The 19,732-nt window shown below is 46.8% G+C and overlaps 1 protein-coding gene, 1 non-coding gene and 1 pseudogene across 19 annotated transcripts in view, besides 1 other annotated feature; 1 reads left to right on the top strand and 2 right to left on the bottom strand.

Annotated features, from left to right (window-relative positions):
- The window catches only part of TMEM181 (transmembrane protein 181), a 98,790-nt gene that overhangs the window by 6,549 nt on the left and 72,509 nt on the right, over positions 1-19,732 (bottom strand). For 11 of the 18 annotated variants that reach the window (NR_164859.1, NM_001376817.1, NM_020823.2 and 8 more), the window contains 4 exons: positions 5,274-5,331; positions 3,675-3,777; positions 3,127-3,178; positions 391-473 (listed from right to left, as the gene is read on the bottom strand). Coding sequence is in view for 17 of the 18 variants with exons in the window: in NM_001376817.1 (NP_001363746.1) it covers positions 391-473; positions 3,127-3,178; positions 3,675-3,777; positions 5,274-5,331 (296 nt within the window). In the remaining variant the exon portion in view is untranslated. Of the gene's footprint in view, positions 1-390; positions 474-3,126; positions 3,179-3,674; positions 3,778-5,273; positions 5,332-8,778; positions 19,550-19,732 lie in introns of those variants that run through there. The other 7 variants (XM_011536003.3, XM_047419182.1, XM_047419187.1 and 4 more) reach the window with 3 other exon arrangements.
- TATDN2P2 (TatD DNase domain containing 2 pseudogene 2) lies at positions 17,155-19,553 on the top strand (annotated as a pseudogene).
- Positions 19,061-19,562: an enhancer, noted in NCBI's record as "H3K27ac hESC enhancer chr6:159030351-159030852 (GRCh37/hg19 assembly coordinates)". NCBI's record gives its function as "activates a minimal SCP1, AML or CMV promoter by ChIP-STARR-seq in primed H9 embryonic stem cells {active_cell/tissue: H9 hESC(primed)}" and the evidence as "EXISTENCE:reporter gene assay evidence [ECO:0000049][PMID:30033119]".
- On the bottom strand, positions 19,091-19,174 carry MIR7161 (microRNA 7161). Its single transcript, NR_106981.1, has one exon. It is a non-coding gene; the product is annotated as a microRNA 7161 (primary transcript).

The following is a 19,732-nucleotide window of genomic DNA, read 5'->3' as shown; positions in this document are numbered from 1 at the left end:
AGGGCAGTAGGGGCTTGGAGCCCCGCGGTGTGGAGAGGCAACCGCACCTCATTTACCTCACAGCACCTGCCCCTCTGGGTGGAAAGCAGCGTGGCGTGGGCACGCTCCAGAGCGCCAGCCTCTCTGGGTTTGGAGCCGGGCTCTGCCACCCGAAACCTGACCTGGGGCAACTACTGAGCCAAGCTTCCTGTGTACAGAGGAGGGACAGGCTGCCCCTTCCCACGGCTGCAGCGGGGCCAACTGAGACACCTCTCAGCAGAGACGAGGCCTCCGGAGAACAGGGCGCGAGGAGCTGACCTGTCTCCTCTTGAGAGGGGCAAATCTGAGCCACTAACTGCTGCAATGCTAAGCAGGCGTCCTGCAGCCAGGGCCCTCCAGTGAAAAGGATATAATTCTGGTAGTGAGTTGACAGCTCTGCTACAAAATTGTCTTGTAGTACTTGCGCCCCAAATCTCAAATAAAGGATGGCGATGCTGAACAAGACAGAGGAGCAGAGACAATATGTAAACATGCACGAAAACGGCACTAGCTTCAGAGAATTCTCTATTCACCCCATTCAAGCTTTCCGTCTGTACACTATGATTTCTGCATGGGAACTTCCACACACATGCACAGATGCACGCACAGATGCACACATGCACACACACACACAGCCCCTGCTTCTGGTTTTTGGTCTCGGATCTAGGTGGGCTAGACCCACCGGCCGGCTGCAGGGACAGGATGAACCCTGCTGCAGGCCCCATCACACTCTCCCTACTCGGGGCCTTGAAGCCTCCTTGGCACATTTCCTCCCTGCTCTTGCTTTTGTAACTCAGGTTTTCGAGACCATCTCCTGTGACAGAGCCCCTCTCCCGAGGGAAGCCTGCTTCTCCTTCGTCACAGCTCCCCTTTCAGACACAGGGACGCCTCCCCGGTCAGTTCCAGTGACTTTGCACAGCAGCGAAGGCAACATCTTTGGTTCAGACTCCCAGCCGGTGACAGATGACAACAGAGGCCTCGGGACACAGGTCCACAGGCTCCTCCCCCACCTGCCTTCCACCTCACCTCCCACATGCCACCCTCAGCCAGAAGGCTTAACATGTGCACCAGACCCTTTCACCTCCCAGCTCAAGACCCTCTGGCGGTCTCCCAGCACAGAATGGAAACTGGACTCAAGAGCTCGCTCTGCCTCCTGCCGTGCCCACGCCTGCTCATCTCCAGCCACGCTGGCCTCCAGCGACGCAGCTGTCTCTCCACCTCGCCATGCTGACGCCCACCCAGGCTGCCGGTGCCCTGTTCTGCGGCCTGGGGCAGCCACCCCACAGCTTTCAGGGCTCCTCCTCAGGTCCTCAGCCAAATGTCGCCTCTCCAAGAGATACATCCCCAAACCACTCATCTAAAGTGGACCCTTCCCCTCTGCAAGTCACATCTCCTTGTTTCGTCTGCAGCATGGCACGCAGGGGGAATGTATTTAGTTGTTTGCCACTCGTCTCTCTCTGTGTGAACATAAATCCCGTGACAGAGAGAAGCCTGTCTGCCAGGACAGGCACTCAGTAACTATTTGTAGGATAAATGAGTCCCCTAACACCTATGTGAAGAGAGATCACATGGCAGGGCAACTTCCGAGACGGAGGCCACCAGAAGTAGACAGTAGCTCCCAACTTGGGGACTAGGTAATTTGAGGGTGAGGGTGTGTGAGTGAAGGTGTAAGGGTGTGAGAGTGAGGGTGTGTGTGAGGATGTGTGACAGTGAGGGTGTAAGGTGTGTGAGCAAGGGTGTGTGAGGGTGTGAGAGAGGGTGAAAACGAGGGTGAGGGTGAGGGTGTGTCAGTGAAGGTGTGAGGGTGTGAGAATGAGGGTGTGTGTAAGGATGTGTGAGAGTGAGAGGCTGTAAGGGTGTGCTGAGAGTGAGGGTGTGTGAGTGATGATGTGTGAGAGGGTGTGAGTGAGGGTGAGGGTGAGGGTGAGAATGAGGGTGAGAATGAGGGTGAGGGTGTGTGAGTGAAGGTGTGGGGGTGTGAGAGTGTGAGAGTGAGGGTGTGAGGATGTGTGAAAATGAGGGTGTGTGTGAAGGTGTGTGTGTGAGGGTGGGTCAGTTGTGAGTGAAGGCATGAGTGAGGTGTGAGTGAGCCTCTATGTGAGGTTGTGAGGTTGTATGGCCATGTGTATGAGACGTCACAGAGACAACGTGCACACCTAGCACTGAACAGAGACTAATACAACACACATGCAGCATTATTCTGAGTGACTTTTGATGCTGAATGAAATTTGAGTTCAAGTCCAAGTCTGAGCTGAGTTCACACTCCTAGTGGTGGTGGACGACCTTGGATGCCTATCTCAGTCCTCGCCCTCCACAAGGTGGGGACTCCCAGAGCCCACCTGGAAAGCTTGGACAAGGGTTGACCTCCCAGAGGCCCCTTGTCACTCATAAAGGAAAAGGGCCAACATCCGCTTATTTGCCATCCAAACAACCTAAAAAGGCAAGCAGCAGCTAGATTTTTTCCTCCTCTGGATTCTGATTTTAGGAGAAACAGACAAACCATAAACCACCAAGCAATTACCTGGAATCGATTCAAATAAACAACTTCCCAGACCGCTCTGTTCCTCTACCAACTGGCCAGCACCGGTCCCCAGGGAGGTCTGGGGCACTCAGGCCAGGCCGAGCCTGCCCTGGGAGACCTCAGGCTGACGCCACTCCCTGACACAACAGGACCAAGCCCACTTCGCCTCCCATCTCCCCCAATGGCAGCAATGGAGCATGCTGCTCAAGGGTGTTTGCTGTCCTAACTCGCTTAGAGTCCTGTCCCTGGGGCACCCCAAGGATCCCGAGGTCCCCAGTGCCCTTACTTCCAGCTGGTGACTGCACGCTGCACACATAGCAGGTGGCACAGCAAGGACAGAACATGCCCAGCGCGGGCCGAGTGTGCAAGTGAACGTGCTCCAGTCCTCGGCCGCTTACAACAAAAACATGCTCTCCAGGCTGACGGCTGCTCTCGGCTGCCCAGCCTTGGTGGGAGGCCCTCTAACCTCATGAGTCTACTGGGCTAGAAGTACCCTGAAATCCACTCCACAAAAGGAGGCAACAGATATTCCTGACAGTAAAAGAAAAATTCCGTTTTGCTGTTTTCAAGAAATAAGGTCTTCTTACCTAATGACAAGTACTACGAAAGTCAATGCAGTCAAAAATTTCAACCTGAGATCTGAAAAAGAAAGAAACTCATTAACAACTCTGGAAGTAAATTCCACTTGCATTTTATTTTGAAAAATAAAAAACAAAAATTAAGCAAAGCTCTTTGGACAAATGCTCCTCCCTCCAGACTTAGCCGGAGTCGCCAGCAGCCTAGGAGAACGTTGGTCCCTTCCCAGGGCCAGGATGGTGTCCAGGGAGGCCACAGCCACCATCCTCTGGTGGGGACAGATTCAGGAAAGGATCCCGCAAGCTCAGGGTGACTCGCCCTGCTCTGCAGGGTACAGTCCCGCAGGACCCAGGCCACTCTGATGGTCCCAAATGCCAGAGTAACCTGTAAGGCCTGTTGTGGCTCCCAGGGACCACGTGCCCTGGTCCCCAGCCTGTGGGAATGGACCAGTCCCTGGGCCCTCAAGGAAGGCCCCTGGCTTGGGAGACTCCAACCACTTCTTCCCCCACCTGAGTCACTCCCAAGCCACCCCTGCACCGATTCTGAAAGGAGCACTTACCCACATAAGGCATGTGACGTAGCTCGGAACACGCCCGCACTATCAAGAACAAGAGGTACAGAATGTACACCGCTGCCACCACCATGAAGAAGACCTTCATTCCCTAGGAGGACACAAGGCAGCACTTGAGTCGGAACAGGGCCTCTGTGACCTTCTCCTCCCAGCACCACCACAGGCAGGAAAGCCACAGGTTTTTAGAAGGGACTTCAACCCTGAAGGTCCCTCCAGGAAGCAGAACAATGGGCTCCCAGCCGGGACCATCTGCTCAGTCCCGCTGCGAGCACAGGCAGCTCCCCTGAGGTGGACGACACCCCAGGCCTTGCAAATCAGCGGAGCAGAGCCCAAACCCCTCCCACCAGGGACCTGTCCAGGCACAGTGGGTGCTCAGACTGCGGTGGCCACTATCTGTCTCTCTCGCCCCTGGGGGCGAGGGGCTGGCTCCCCACCCTGCCCCTGCATGTGGGAAGGTGGCAGGTGTCCAAGAAAGGACCCAGGCTAGGCCCTGGGAATCCACGCGCCGTCTTAACCATCAACCATTCCCGACCTCTGTTTTCTTATCTGTGACACGAGGGGCTTGAATTAAATGCCCTACAGGACCTAAGGTCTAAAAGTGCACAATTCTGTAATGTCACAGCAAGCCAAAGCCCTTTTCTGAAGATGGAGCTGTGATGGGGAGGGCAGGCCCGTGGGTTCTGACAAGGGCCAGGCCGCGGGGTGGACAGTGTCTTTAGACGCAGTCCCCGCTCCTCGATGGCTCCGGCCCACGCCATCCCCCCACCCCTTTCCTGTCCTCTCAGCGCCAGAGCTCCCCTCTTACAGTCAAGGCTCAGAGCACAGGACAGCACAGCAGGAATCGGGATCATTTTTCTCAAAAGCACCTAAGTGACTTTAGCTGGGACCTTACGTAAAGCAAAGGGACTGGACTAGACCAGCGTGTTTAGCACCGAGAAGGCTCTGCTCTCCGGTGTCTCCTTCAGCAACAGACGTGGGCCCTGGGGTCTGTTCCAGAGCCCACATGGCTGGTTCTCCCCGACACCTGACTGGGAAGGAAGAGCAGCCGACCAGAACCACAGTGACAGGGCCTCAAACTGCGTCAGCCACAAACCAAAGACTGGGAGTAAAAACATTGTTTTAAAGAGCTTTTCTGCCGGGTACAGTGGCTCACGCCTGTAATCCCAGCACTTTGGGAGGCCGAGATGGGTAGATCACTTGAGATCAGGAGTTTGAGAACAGTCTGGCCAATATGGTGAAACCCCCATCTCTACTAAAAATACAGAAATTACCCAGGTGTGGTGGCGCACGCCTATCGTCCCAGTTACTCAGAAGGCTGACGCAGGAGAACCACTTGAACCCAGGAGGCGGAGGCTGCAGTAAGCTGAGATTGCACCACTGCACTCCAGCCTGGGCGACAGAGCAAGACTCCAACTCAAAAAAAAAAAAAAAATTTCCCCAAATCTTCCACCCTTGAACTTTCTATGTAGTCCTTCCCAAGTAGTCAGTTAGCAAAAAGCTCAACAGAACAATTTAAGTCACAAAATTCAGTAATTTTACAAAACAGCATTAAGAAGAAAAATTGCAGGCCTCATTAACAATCCTTACCTGAAAATTTCCGGTATCAACTCGATACTGGTACATTGGATCATGTAATTCGTTAACTCTAAAAATTGACATTATAAATAATTATAGATTAATAACTACCTTTACTTTTTATTTTACATTTTTTCTTATTGACTTTTTGTTTTTTTTACTTATTAATATAAACTACTTCCTACCAACAGTGAAGGATTTTTACAAAGCAATCCTAAATTTATGAGAAATCCTGAATTTCATATTTCACATGAAAAAACTATACAATCCTACCAAGGGTCCACATTTATCAGTATTGGAAAGTTGCAGTATTTTTTATTACACAAAACCCTATATACTATTTCTCTTGCAGTTTTAAGAGCTGTTTTTCCAGTCACCTTTTTAATGGCACGTATGAGTACTAGGAAATAGACAAGAAAACAAAGAAAGCAATAAAAGCAAATAGAAACTTCCATGAGATTGATTTTCAAAATGAAAATGGGTGGCTGAGATGACAGGGAATTGGGGACAGGGGACTGGAGCAGACGGGGTGACTCACTTGGGTCACTGTGGCATGAAACTAGGCATGCTGGGCTCCGAAGTCACACCTGGAAACGGAGCTACTCCGTGAAAGTCCTATTCATGTGAACCAGGCTGCTACCACACTAGGCTTCTGCTGTGGGGCCATTTTACAGGACAAAAGCACTCATAAAGAGCAAGCGTGGGAGCGGGCATAGGGCTTGAAAGTGTGTGGACACAGCAGAGCATCGGTGGACAGTGGAAAGCCAGGAGCCACCCAAGATTCACTCCTACAACAAGGTCTCCCCTCTCTAAAGGAGAAATTGAAAAGGACATGGTCTTTTTCATCTTTCATCATAGACCAGTAGAATTGTGGATTCTCCACAACTCATTTAAGCAAAAACGAATGTGTCAGTTCAAGTCATACAGCTGTCCCTACTTACCCATGGTTTCACTTTCTGCAGTTTCAGTTAACTGAAATCAGCTGCAGTCAGAAAACGTTAAATGGGACATTCCAGAAAAAAGCATTCCCTAAGTTTTAAATTGCATGCCAATCTGATAGCACGATGACATCCTGCACCATCCCCCCAGGGATGTGTGCCACCCCTTTGTCCTGTGTACCCCGGCTGCAAACGTGGCTCGCCCGTCAGTCGGCCACATCATCTGCTCCTGACACACAACCACCGACACTGTCATGGCTGCGTGACCCTCCCGACATATCACAGGAAGCTCAGGAGCAGCCTAGCCCTATGTCACAATGCCTACACCATTCCCCTCACTTATCCCACACACAGGGACTGGGGCATCTCACATCATCATCATAAGAATACAGGATATTTTGAAAAAGAGAGAGCACGTCACACAACTTTTATTATAATATATTGTTATAGTTTTTCTATTTTATTGGTTATTATTAGCCTAACAAATAATCTTTATCATAGGTATGTATGTATAGAGAAAAACATACCAGAGGGCAGGCGCTGGGGAGGTCAGAGTGGTGTCATCTTGGGCAGAGGTCAGGCAGGGCAGAACAGTGTGGGCGGCCCAACGGGGCAGGCAGGGCGGGTGTCTGGGCCTCGGCAGCCAGGTGGGCTGTCCGGAGGCAGCCTTCAGGGGTGCGGCTGGCTCTGAGGGGCGCTTGGGCCCCTTCCAGCCCAGGGCAGGTGGGCGAGCTGCGGGAGCCCATGGGTCCAGCAGCCATGTGTGGACCTTAAAGCCCTTTGTGGTCTTCGGAAGCGCTTTGACAGCTCTGGACTTTGTATTGCAAAGTAATCAAAGTGCTCTGTAGCCCCTGAAGCAGTTAGGCATCTGTGAAGTGGCCTGCGCAGACAGAAGCGCTTGGTGATCTCAGAAGCACACTGAGCTTGGAAGCCAAACCAAAGCCTTTAGTAAATATCGGATCATTCTGACTTCTCCAAAGCACGCTGGCATCTCTGAAACTGTGAGAACTGTGATGGGCAGTGGGAGGAAGAGGGAAGGGGGTCCATGGTGCTGGATTGGCACAAGGTCAGGTACCACCAGAGCAGAATGTGGGAAGGTGTCCCAGCAAGCGCAGCTGCCTCCGGGAGTCCGGTGATGTGGCCCCCTCAGCTGGCCAGCTCAGAGCTCTGTGTTGGGTTCAGGACGGGCTGGTAGCCCCAAGCGCCTGAAAACCCAGGAAGAGGATGGTGTGGCTTGCTTCGCCGAGGTTATCCTGGGGCTCATCCTGCCGCAGAAGTAACTCCTCCTCCTTGACAGAGCAGGAGCACCTTCATCTTGGACAAACACTGCCACTTTCAGTGCCAGCTCCCTTTCTAACCTCCTGCATTTCAAGGAAATCACTTCTCGAGATTCTAACAAGCAGCAGCCAGAAAGAGCAGATAGTAAAACACAGATAACACAGCTGGGCACAGACAGAGAGGGGAAAGTCTCTTGGGTAAGCACCAAACTTCACACTCATACCATGTGCCCCAGTAGAACAGTGGGTCCTAATAAGCACATTCGTTTCCCTTTAGGTGCACCAAGATAGGAAAGCTAAAAGCAGACGTGGGGGCTATGCCTGCAGTTGCAGGAAGATGTATGGGGAACAGACACAAAACTCTCCCTTCCAGATAAGCAAGACAAAGAGACACACAGAAACATTTCGAGCCTGTGATAAGCTCTCCCACCCTGAACGCTTAAATACTCTTAGCCCGTAAGAGAGTGCCTCTGACCTAACTTGGCCAGAAGGCCCTCTCAGGTTTATTGTCCAAAATAAACCTATTTTTCACTGTTGAGCTGCTTTTCGTGTTTCTTTCCTCTTTAACACTTACATTTGGTGCTGAAACCCGGGACAGATGTTGGGGACAGAGGCTCTCTTGCAACCCAGGAAGCAGTGGGCAGCGGCAGCTTGTCCTGAGTTAACTCCTGGATCCTGAGAGTCTCTGGCCATGCACCCCATCTTTTCTCTCACTTCACTCTTCCAGCAATTTGTGCGAGGACAACTAATCTGAAGGGGACTGCGAGGCTCGGGCGGGGGCTACTCCCCAGTGGGCTCTCAAAACCCTCAGGTCTCAGGAATCCACCTCCAACCACCAGCGATGGGTATTTCGCTCCCTAACCCTTGCTCCCTCTTTCTCCCTCTTCTTTCTCTCTCCCTCTCCCTCTCTCTTCCTCACGCATGCCGGTTCGGGAAGCCCTTTGGTGATTCCAACTGGAACATCCAACATCAGACACTAATTCAGCTGACTGGTAAGATCTGCCTTCTCCTGGCTTTCTCGTGGTACCTGAGAAAGTTCGGTCTGCCGTCCCAGTCCTCAGAGGACCAGTGGGACTAAGCTAGAGGACATCTTGGGGGCGCCCAGTTTCTTCTCAGCTTAACTGTCCTCTTTGGAAAGAAGATTCCAGGTCTCTTGTCTGGGGATGCCTAATAAAAATAGACCCCCCCGGGCCTCCTCTCACCAGCCCACATGGTGCCAAACCATCCCACATTCCCACGCCTCCCCTCTGGGCTGTCTCCTTCACAACCTCGCCAAACTTGGCTCACAGGGACTCCTAAAGCCAAAGTGTTTAGTTTTTTATTGCAATATGGCCTGGTCCCAATACAAACAAGATAATAACAGCCAATTGCCTGAGAACAGCACCCTTTAACTTTCAGATTCTCAGGGACCTTGACAATTTTATCACCAGGAATGGCAAATGGCAAGAGGTTCCCTATACTCAGGCTTTCCTCTACCCTCTCTATGTCAACCTTGCACCCCTCATGACATCCTCCTTTTTTTTTTTTTTTTTTTTTTGAGACGGAGTCTCGCTGTGTCGCCAGGCTGGAGTGCAGTGGCGCAATCTCAGCTCACTGCAACCTCTGCCTCCCAGGTGCAAGTAATTCTCCTGCCTCAGCCTCCCAAGTAGCTGGGACTACAGGTGTGTACCATCACGCCTGGCTAATTTTTTGTATTTTAGTACAGACGGCATTTCACCATGTTGGCCAGGATGGTCTCAATCTCCTAACCTCATGATCGGCCTGCACTGGCCTCCCAAAGTGCTGGGATTATAGGCGTGAGCCACCGCGCCTGGCCAACATCCTTCTCTTACAAAAACAAAACAAAAAACCCTCCCTAGGTCTCTCCTTCCTCCAAAACTCCTTCCTCTGAATGACTTTGACGAGTTGACAGAAGTAGGCTTCAGAAGATCGGTAATAACCAACTTCTCCGAGCTAAAGGAGGATGTTCGAACCCATCGCCAAGAAGCTAAAAACCTTGAAAAAAGATTAGACAAATGGCTAACTAGAATAAACAGCACAGAGAAGACCTTAAACGACCTGATGGAGCTGAAAACCATGGCATAAGAACTACGTGACGCATGCACAAGCTTCAGTAGCCGATTCGATCAAGTGGAAGAAAGGGTATCAGTAACTGAAGATCAAATGAATGAAATGAAGCAAGAAGAGAAGTTCAGAGAAAAAAGAGTAAAAAGAAACGAACAAAGCCTCCAAGAAATATGGGACTATGTGAAAAGACCAAATCTATGTTTGATTGTTGTATCTGAAAGTGACAGAGAGAATGGAACCAAGTTGGAAAACACTCTTCAGGATATTATCCCCCAGGAGAACTTCCCCAACCTAGCAAGGCAGGCCAGCATTCAAATTCAGGAAATACAGAGAACGCCACAAAGATACTCCTTGAGAAGAGCAACCCCAAGACACATAATTGTCAGATTCACCAAGGTTGAAATGAACGAAAAAATGTTAAGGGCAGCCAGAGAGAAAGGTCAGGTTACTCACAAAGGGAAGCCCATCAGAATAATAGCTGATCTCTCAGCAGAAACTCTACAAGCCAGAAGAGTGGGGGCCAATATTCAACATTCTTAAAGAAAACACTTTTCAACCCAGAGTTTCGTATCAAGCCAAACTAAGCTTCATAAGTGAAGGAGAAATAAAATCCTTTACAGACAGCAAATGCTGAGAGATTTTTGTCACCACCAGGCCTGCCTTACAAGAGCTCCTGAAGGAAGCACTAAACATGGAAAGGAACAACGGTACCAGCCACTGCAAAAACATGCCAAACTGTAAAGACCATCAATGCTAGGAAGAAACAGCATCAACTAACAAGCAAAATAACCAGCTAATATCATAATGGCAGGATCAAATTCACACATAACAATATTAACCTTAAACGTAAATGGGCTAAATGCCCCAATTAAAAGACACAGACTGGCAAATTGGATAAAGAGTCAAGACCCATCAGTATGATGTATTCAGGAGACCCATCTCACGTGCAGAGACACACATAGGCTCAAAATAAAGGGATGGATGAATATCTACCAAGCAAATGGAAAACAACAACAACAACAACAACAAAAGCAGGGGTTGCAATCCTAGTCTCTGATAAAACAAACTTTAAACCAACAAAGATCAAAAGAGACAAAGAAGGCCATTACATAATGGTAAAGGGATCAATGCAACAAGAAGAGCTAACTATCCTAAATATATATGCACCCAATACAGGAGCAACCAGATTCATAAAGCAAGTCCTTAGAGACCTACAAAGAGACTTAGACTTCCACACAATAATAATGGGAGACTTTAACACCCCACTGTCAACATTAGACAGATCAACAAGACAGAAAGCTAACAAGGATATCCGGGACTTGAACTCAGCTCTGCACCAAGCAGGTCTAACAGACATCTACAGAACTCTCCATCCCTAATCAATGGAATATACATTCTTCTCAGCACCACATCATACTTATTCCAAAATTGACCACATAGTTGGAAGTAAAGCACTCCTCAGCAAATGTAAAAGAACAGAAATTATAACAAACTGTCTCTCAGACCACAGTGCAATCAAATTAGAACTCAGGATTAAGAAACTCACTCAAAACCTCACAACTACATGGGAACTGAACAACCTGCTCCTGAATGACTACTGGGTAAATGACGAAATGAAGGCAGAAATAAAGATGTTCTTTGAAACCAATGAGAACAAAGACACAACATACCAGAATCTCTGGGACACATTTAAAGAAGTGTGTAGAGGAAAATTTATAGCACTAAATGCCCACAAGAGAAAGCGGGAAAGATCTAAAATTGACACCCTAACATCACCATTAAAAGAACTAGAGAAGCAAGAGCAAACACATTCAAAAGCTAGCAGAAGGCAAGAAATAACTAAGATCAGAGCAGAACTGAAGGAGATAGAGACACAAAAAAAACCCTTCAAAAAAATCAATGAATCCAGGAGCTGGTTTTTTGAAAAGATCAACAAAATAGACCGCTAGCAAGATTAATAAAGAAGAGAGAAGAACCAAATAGATGCAATAAAAAATGATGAAGGGGATATCACCACCGAACCCACAGAAATACAAACTACCATCAGAGAGTACTATAAACACCTCTACTCAAATAAACTAGAAAATCTGGAAGAAATAGATAAATTCCTGGACACATACACTCTCCCAAGACGAAACCAGGAAGAAGCTGAATCTCTTAATAGACCAATAACAGGCTCTGAAATTGAGGCAATAATTAATAGCTTACCAACGAAAAAAAGTCCAGGACCAGACGGATTCACAGCCGAATTCTACCAGAGGTACAGGGAGGAGTTGCTATTATTCTTTCTGAAACTATTCCAATCAATAGAAAAAGAAGGAATCCTCCCTAACTCATTTTATGAGGCCAGCATCATCCTGACACCAAAGCCTGGCCAGAGACACAACAAAAGAGAATTTTAGACCAATATCCCTGATGAACATTGATGTGAAAATCCTCAATAAAATACTGGCAAACCGAATCCAGCAGCACATCAAAAAGCTTATCCACCACGATCAAGTTGGCTTCATCCCTGGGATGCAAGGCTGGTTCAACATATACAAATCTATAAATGTAATCCAGCATATAAACAGAACCAAAGACAAAAACCACGTGATTATCTCAATAGATGCAGAAAAGGCCTCTGACAAAATTCAACAGCGCTTCATGCTAAAAACTCTCAATAAACTAGGTGTTGATGGGACGTATCTCAAAATAATAAGAGCTATTTATGACAAACCCACAGCCAATATCATACTGAATGGGCAAAAACTGGAAGCATTCCCTTTGAAAACTGGCACAAGACAGGGATGCCCTCTCTCACCACTCCTATTCAACATAGTATTGGAAGTTCTGGCCCGGGCAGTCAGGCAGGAGAAAGAAATAAAGGGTATTCAATTAGGAAAAAAGGAAGTCAAATTGTCCCTGTTTGCAGATGACATGATTGTATATCTAGAAAACCCCATCGTCTCAGCCCAAAATCTCCTTAAGCTGATAAGCAACTTTAGGAAAGTCTCAGGATACAAAATCAATGTGCAAAAATCACAAACATTCCTATACACCAATAACAGACAAACAAAGAGCCAAATCATGAGTGAACTCCCATTCACAATTGCTTCAAAGAGAATAAAATACCTAGGAATCCAACTTACAAGGGATGTGAAGGACCTCTTGAAGGAGAACTACAAACCACTGCTCAACGAAATAAAAGAGGACACAAACAAATGGAAGAACATTCCATGCTCATGGATAGGAAGAATCAATATCGTGAAAATGGCCATACTGCCCAAGGTAATTTATAGATTCAATGCCATCCACATTAAGCTACCAAGGACTTTCTTCACAGAATTGGAAAAAACTACTTTAAAGTTTATATGGAGCCAAAAAAGAGCCCACATTGCCAAGACAATCCTAAGCAAAAAGAACAAAGCTGGAACATCATGCTACCTGACTTTAAACTATACTACAAGGCTACAGTAACCAAAACAGCATGGTACTGGTAACAAAACAGAGATGTAGAACAAGGGAACAGAACAGAGCCCTCAGAAATAATATCACACATCTACAACCATCTGATCTTTGACAAACCTGACAAAAACAAGAAATGGGGAAAGGATTCCCTATTTGATAAATGGTGCTGGGAAAACTGGCTAGCCATATGTAGAAAGCTGAAATGGGATCTCTTCCTTACACCCTATACAAAAATTAATTCAAGATGGATTAAAGACTTAAATGTTAGACCTAAAACCATAAAAACCCTAGAAGAAAACCTAGGCAATGCCATTCAGGACATGGGCATGGGCAAGGACTTCATGACTAAAACACCAAAAGCAATGGCAACAAAAGCCAAAATAGACATATGGGATCTAATTAAACTAAAGAGCTTCTGCACAGCAAAAGAAATTGCCATCAGAGTGAACAGGCAACCTACAGAATGGCAGAAAATTTTTGCTATCTACTCATCTGATAAAGGGCTAATATCCAGAATCTACAAAGAACTTAAATTTACAAGAAAGCATCAAACAATCCCATCAAAAAGTGGGTGAAGGATATGAACAGACACTTCTCAAAAGAAGGCATTTCTGCAGCCAAAAGACACATGAAAAAATGCTCATCATCACTGGCCATCAGAGAAATGCAAATCAAAACCACAATGAGATATCAACTCACACCAGTTAGAATGGCAATCATTAAAACGTCAGGAAACAACAGGTCCTGGAGAGGATGTAGAGAAAGAGGAACACTTTTACACTGTTGGTGGGAGTGTAAACTAGTTCAACCGTTGTGGAAGACAGTGTGGCAATTCCTCAAGGATCTAGAACTAGAAATACCATTTGACCTAGCCATCCCATTACTGGATATATACCCAAAGGATGACAAATCATGCTACTATAAAGACACATGCACACGTATGTTTATTGCAGCACTATTCCCAACAGCAAAGACTTGGAACCAACCCAAATGTTCATCAATGATAGACTGGATTAAGAAAATGTGACACATATACACCATGGAATACTATGCAGCCATAAAAAAGGATGAGTTCATGTCCTTTGCAGGGACATGGATGAAGCTGGAAACCATCATTCTGAGCAAACTATCGCCAAGCACAGAAAACCAAATACCACATACTCTCACTCATAGGTGGGAAATGAACAATGAGAACACTTGGACACAGGGTGGGGAACATCACACAACAGGGCCTGTCGTAGGGTGGGGGGAGGTTGGAGGGACAGCATTAGGAGATATACCTAATGTAAATGATGCGTTAATGGGTGCAGCACACCAACATGGCACATGTATACATATGTAACAAACCTGCACGTTGTGCACATGTACCCTAGAACTTAAAGTGTAATTAAAAAAAAATTTTTTTTAAATAGGATTGTCTATAAGGTTTCATTAAAAATTAGGGTTAATATTAATAGCAAACGAATGCAAGGATAAAATTCAACTTTCTCTCTTAAAGAGGATTTTTATGTAATAAAAAGGATGAGGAATGGTTTTTGCTTTCAAATGTTTAACTCATCATTTTGGCGAAGCAAAAACTTAATGGTAATCTAAAGTTCTATTTCATACTATCAAGTGTTTCAAATTTTCAACATATTTAACAGGCTTCCCCAAATCAAACTTTAGTCTCAAGGTTGTCTTTCCTAACCCCCGGCCTTTGGGTGCTGCAGAAGGCCCCTGGAGCATCCAGAAAAGAGGTAAACAGGATTATTTAACATGTTTAGGTACATGAAATTGTCAAGATAATGTCCAATAGGTTTTATTTGAGGGAATAATATTAACATATGTTCTAAAACTGTATGGGATGTCTAAGGTTCTAGTATCTAAATATGTGCTATTAATCACAAGTAAGGTTATGTTGGGTTACTGTAAACCACAGAAATAACCAAATTTATTTGTCAATTGTGTTTCTGATTGTATCCGAACAGGACACTGCCAATCCTTATTTTATTTTCCAGAGTCAAGGAAACTTGTCTTAAACTAAATATACTCCTGTAAATATTAGGATTTAAAGATGTTTGTTTCTCTCTGCCTAGTTCCTCTAGAATTTGAAAACTAGTTATAAGTATTCTTAAACCACAACAATATAGTTGTGTGCATCAGTGCGGTAAGAATATATTTTCTTGCGTAACAGAACACAATTGGAGAAACTGGTTATTCTGCCAAGGCTTTCACTGGAATGGTGTGCTCTCCTTTAAGGAATCGAACTTGACTTAGGAAGCCAAGAAAGCCCTTGGAAACTGGTCTCATATTCTGTGTACACAGTCCCTGTACAGAGTTTCTGACCTGTGCTAAGCAAAGCATGTCACTTTGACAGGCCAGGAACCCCAAGTTATCTTGAAACCTCAAGAGGAAAGGAATTCACCCAACTCATAGGTATTTAATGGTACAAATCCATGGCTGGGTTTGGCTTTGGAAAGTCTTATCTGATTCCTTCTATGGAAAAAAGTTCCATCAAAGCCAATTTAAAAGGTGTATGTAGCAAATAATTACTCTTGCTGCACTGTATACAAATAAATAAGCCAAGTATAATAAAGCAAACCAGTCCTATTATGATTTGTCTTTTAATAAAAATGGTAAACTGGAGAGAGAAAATTAGGTTTCAAAAACTATAGCACACCTGTTAAATTCTAGTCTTGACTGATGTTTTTCAATTTTTATGGTTTTCGACAGTTTAAATTACATCTGTTACAGGAATCAACCCCTGCATACATCACACTCAAGTCAAAGCCTGAAAAGCTGAGGAAGCAATCCCAACAGCCCAGAGGAACGTCCTAAATATCAATGTAAAGAAATAAGAAATCTTAAGTTGAAAATCATAAAAAATAACTAACTGAGTGACAATTACTCATCTGACTCAGTCTCACTCTTACCTCACCAAGTACTTTTTGTCATTTCTACCTCTCCTTTTAAGCCAAATATTAAAGCTTTTTTATGGAAATTATTTACCATGCCACCCTTGCGGGAACTGCTTTACTGGACTATTTGCAGTAGGACTATGTACTGCAGCACCCTGAGGGTAGGATATCAGACAGACAATCTCAATTACCGTAGCATTTTGCTTAATTACTATCCTTACAGCAGGAATAACAGTTACTAATAAAAAATAACACATGGGTCTTTCCAAACATGTGCCTCTGCCTCTCATTGGGAAAGAAATGTTGCTTCTATCTCAACCAATCAGGTCTCGTAAGAGAGGCTGCTAAAAATCTCAAACAAAGGGCTAAAATGCTAAGCGAATACCAAAACAACCAAATGAATTATTGGTTTGGGAACAAAAAGCATACCATGGGTCATCCCATTCCTGGGCCCTCTCCTAATAATAAGCCTAGGACTAATGTTTTTACCCTGCCTAATTAACCTTTTTCAAAGATTCTTAACTGACAGGAGCATGGCTATTTCACAGACAACTATCCAAAACATCTACAGACGGCATTGCTCCCGCAGTCAATCCGAGACCAAGGGACTCTCTACCTCTCCCACCCAGCAGGAAGTAACCAGAAAGAACACGTCGCCCCTGGTCCTTTTATAACTATAGGGTCTGGAATGACAGAGCAGGAGCACCGTCATCTTGGACAAACACCCCCATTTTCAGTTCCAGCTCCCTTTCTAACTTCTTACGTTTCAAGGAAATCACTTCTAACAAAAAGCAGCCAGAAAGAGTAGACAGTAAAACACAGATAAGACAGCTGGGCACAGCTGGGCACCCAAGTCTCTTGGGTAACCACCGAACTTCACACTCATGTTTTGGGAGTGTAAATGGGCCCCCAAAAATGGGCCCCAGTAAAAAAGTAGGCCCTAATAAGCACATTCCTTTCCCTTTAAATGCGCTAAGATAGACAAGCTAAAAGCAGACTAGGAGGTGGGGGGGGTATCCCTGCAGCTGCAGGGAGTTGTATGGGAACAGACACAAAACCTCCCCCTCCCAGATAAGCAAGGCGAAGAGATACAGAAACATTCCAAGCCTGTGATAACCTCTTCTGCCCTGAACCCTTAAATACTCTTAGCCTGTAAGAGAGAGTGACTCTGACCTAACTCGGCCAGAAGGCCCTCTCAGGTTTATTGTCCAAAACAAACCTGTCTTTGACTGTTGAGCCGCTTTTCCTGTTTCTTTCCTTTCTTTAACTCTTACATTCCTCCCCGGCATTCCTCGGGCACAGGTGTGGGCGGGGCCGCCACCAAAGGCTGCCTGATTCAGAGCACTCAGGGAGTCCTTTCGTCAGGGGGAACCCCTCCACATCCTACCAATCCCTTTCTAGAAGAAATAGCTTCTCTAGAAAAGGAAGCCTGCAGCTTTAAGGCTGATTCCAAAGATAGTTCTCGTAACTCCATGAACTCTTAATTTGCAACTGAAGCTGAGAGTCAGAATGATACGACTGAGGAACCCAACAAGGTCCAGAAAAGGAAGACGGATAGACTTCGACATCAGGGCTCCACAATGATCTACCTGGAGGCTAACCAGGGCATCCAGGGAAATCAATGCCGAAAAGGAAGGGAGAGGCTGTCACTAGTTCAAAACCAAGCATAGCAGAGTGTCCCAGTTGTGGAGAAGGACCAGCTAGGAGTGAAGGACCAGCCAAGACTGAGAAGGAACAGCCAGGAGTGTCACAGTCACCCCTGCTGAGAAGGATAGTCAATCCCAGAGGTCAGTGGAGAAGGACAAGACAGTGCCAGAGAGGAGCAGCTTCTGTGACAGGAGAGTAGTCACAGACCCTCAGGAGAAACCCACTGAGGAGCCCCTTGGGGACCAAAGGACAGTCACTGACAAATGCTCTCCACCCCTCGAGTTTCTGGATGACTCTCTCATTTAGAAATCCGAAAGCATAAAGATAGGGAGGTGGTGATGGAGCACCCCTCTTCAGGAAGCAACTGGTCTGATCTGGAGATCTCCACGGTCAGATTCTCTCAGGAGGAACCCGTCCCACTGAAACCCTCAGCCATTCCAGAGCCTTCTTCCTTCACTACTATGTCATGTACCTGCCTCATTTTTACAGTAGTCCTTGGTGTGAGTATGTCAGCTAGTGCACCAGCAGCCCCAAGCCTGCCGGCTACCTGTCTGTGAGCAGCAGCAGCAATGACGCAGCACAGGCTGGGAGGAGCAGCCCGAGTGCCTGAGTGATTCTTCCCCCAACTCTGCAGTGAGCGCCCATAACGTCTCCAGAGATGTGGAGGCCTCAGAGGAAGGCAGCTCCCAGAATTCTCACTCATTTCACTTCTCCAGAAGCTCGGGAGGAAAAGAGGTGAAGCAAAGAAGAACATTCCAAGAGGAGATGCCTCTGTGTCCTTGTGGAGGACACACATCCAGCTCCCTGCCAAAGAGCCACTGGGAGCCAAGCCTAGAGCAGGGCTTCACTGATACCCACTGTCATTTGGATATGCTGTATTCCAAGTTGTCTTTCAAAGGGACCTTGACTAAGTTCAGAAGAATTTACAGCAGCTCCTTCTCTAAGGAATTTCAGGGTTGCATCTCTGACCTCTGCCACCCTCACCCTGACAAATTGCCTACGGGGGGAGCTGTTGAAAGAGAATCTGGTCTGGGGGGCCTTTGGCTGTCACCCTCATTTTCCATGTTACTACAATAAGAGTCAGGAAAGAAATCTTTTACAAGCCTTAAGGCACCCCACGACTGTGGCATTTGGAGAAACAGGCTTCAATTACTCCTACAAGTGCACCATGCCTGTCCCAGAACATCACAAGGTATTTAAGAGACAGCTTGAGCTGGCTGCGTCTCTAGAGAAGCTTTGGTGATCCTCTGCCAGCAAGCTGACGAGGATCTGCTGGACACCATGAGAAAATGTGTGTTCTCTGACTACAAGATACACAAGCATTGCTTCACTGCAGCTACCTGGCCATGGAACCCCTGCTGAAGTACTTTCCCAACGTCGGTGGGCCTCATGGCAGTCCTGACGTACTCCTCCACCTGAGAAGCCCGGGAAGTGCTGAGGCAGATCCCACTGGAGAGAATCATCATGGAAACGGATGCTCCCTACTTCCTCCCTAGCCGGGTTCCCAAAAGCCTTTGCCAGTATGCCCACCTGGGCCTGGCCTTGCATACAGTCCTGGAGACTGCCAGAGTCAAAGATCTAGTCTCCCACACCCTGGCCACTTTGCGTGAGAACACCAGTTGCCTCTACAGTCTTTAAGCAGAGAGGGCACAGTCATTGGGAGTCTCCCAGAAAAGGGCAACTAGCAACCTGACGTAATACAGGCTGGCCTGAAGTCTGTGTCCCAGGGGGAGGATGTGTTTGGAAGGCCGACTGGAACACAGAAAACCAGGACGGGATATTTTTCCTCAAAGCGGGTCATGAGGCTTCAGTTTCTGGGTAGTGGGTGTGGAATGAGGGGTAAGGGGACTGCCTGTAATAGCATTGGGGTTTTGCCTCCCAGCCAAAATGCTCCAAGGTAGGAGCAAAGAAGGAGTGTGACATGAGGGTACAATGAGTTTGCCAATCCAAATCCTGTTCTCTGCAGCCTGTGTTTTTGAGCAGCCTGTGACTAAAGTCACCCTCCTATTCGTCTAAAAAAAAAAGAAAAACATAGTATGGGTATACATAGGGTATAAACAGCTATATATAAGGATCAGTACTATCCAAGACCGCAGATAGTTAATGGGGGTCTGGGAACAAATCCCCCAAAAATAAGGGGTGTCTACTGTGTCACCAAGTTAGATAAACTGAAAGCTGATTCTTTTCTGGATGAG

Source organism: Homo sapiens, chromosome 6 (genome assembly GCF_000001405.40).
Source record: "Homo sapiens chromosome 6, GRCh38.p14 Primary Assembly".
Lineage (NCBI taxonomy): Eukaryota > Metazoa > Chordata > Mammalia > Primates > Hominidae > Homo > Homo sapiens.
Note: the sequence above shows the minus strand (reverse complement) of the source record. Positions and strands in the feature narration are given on the sequence as shown.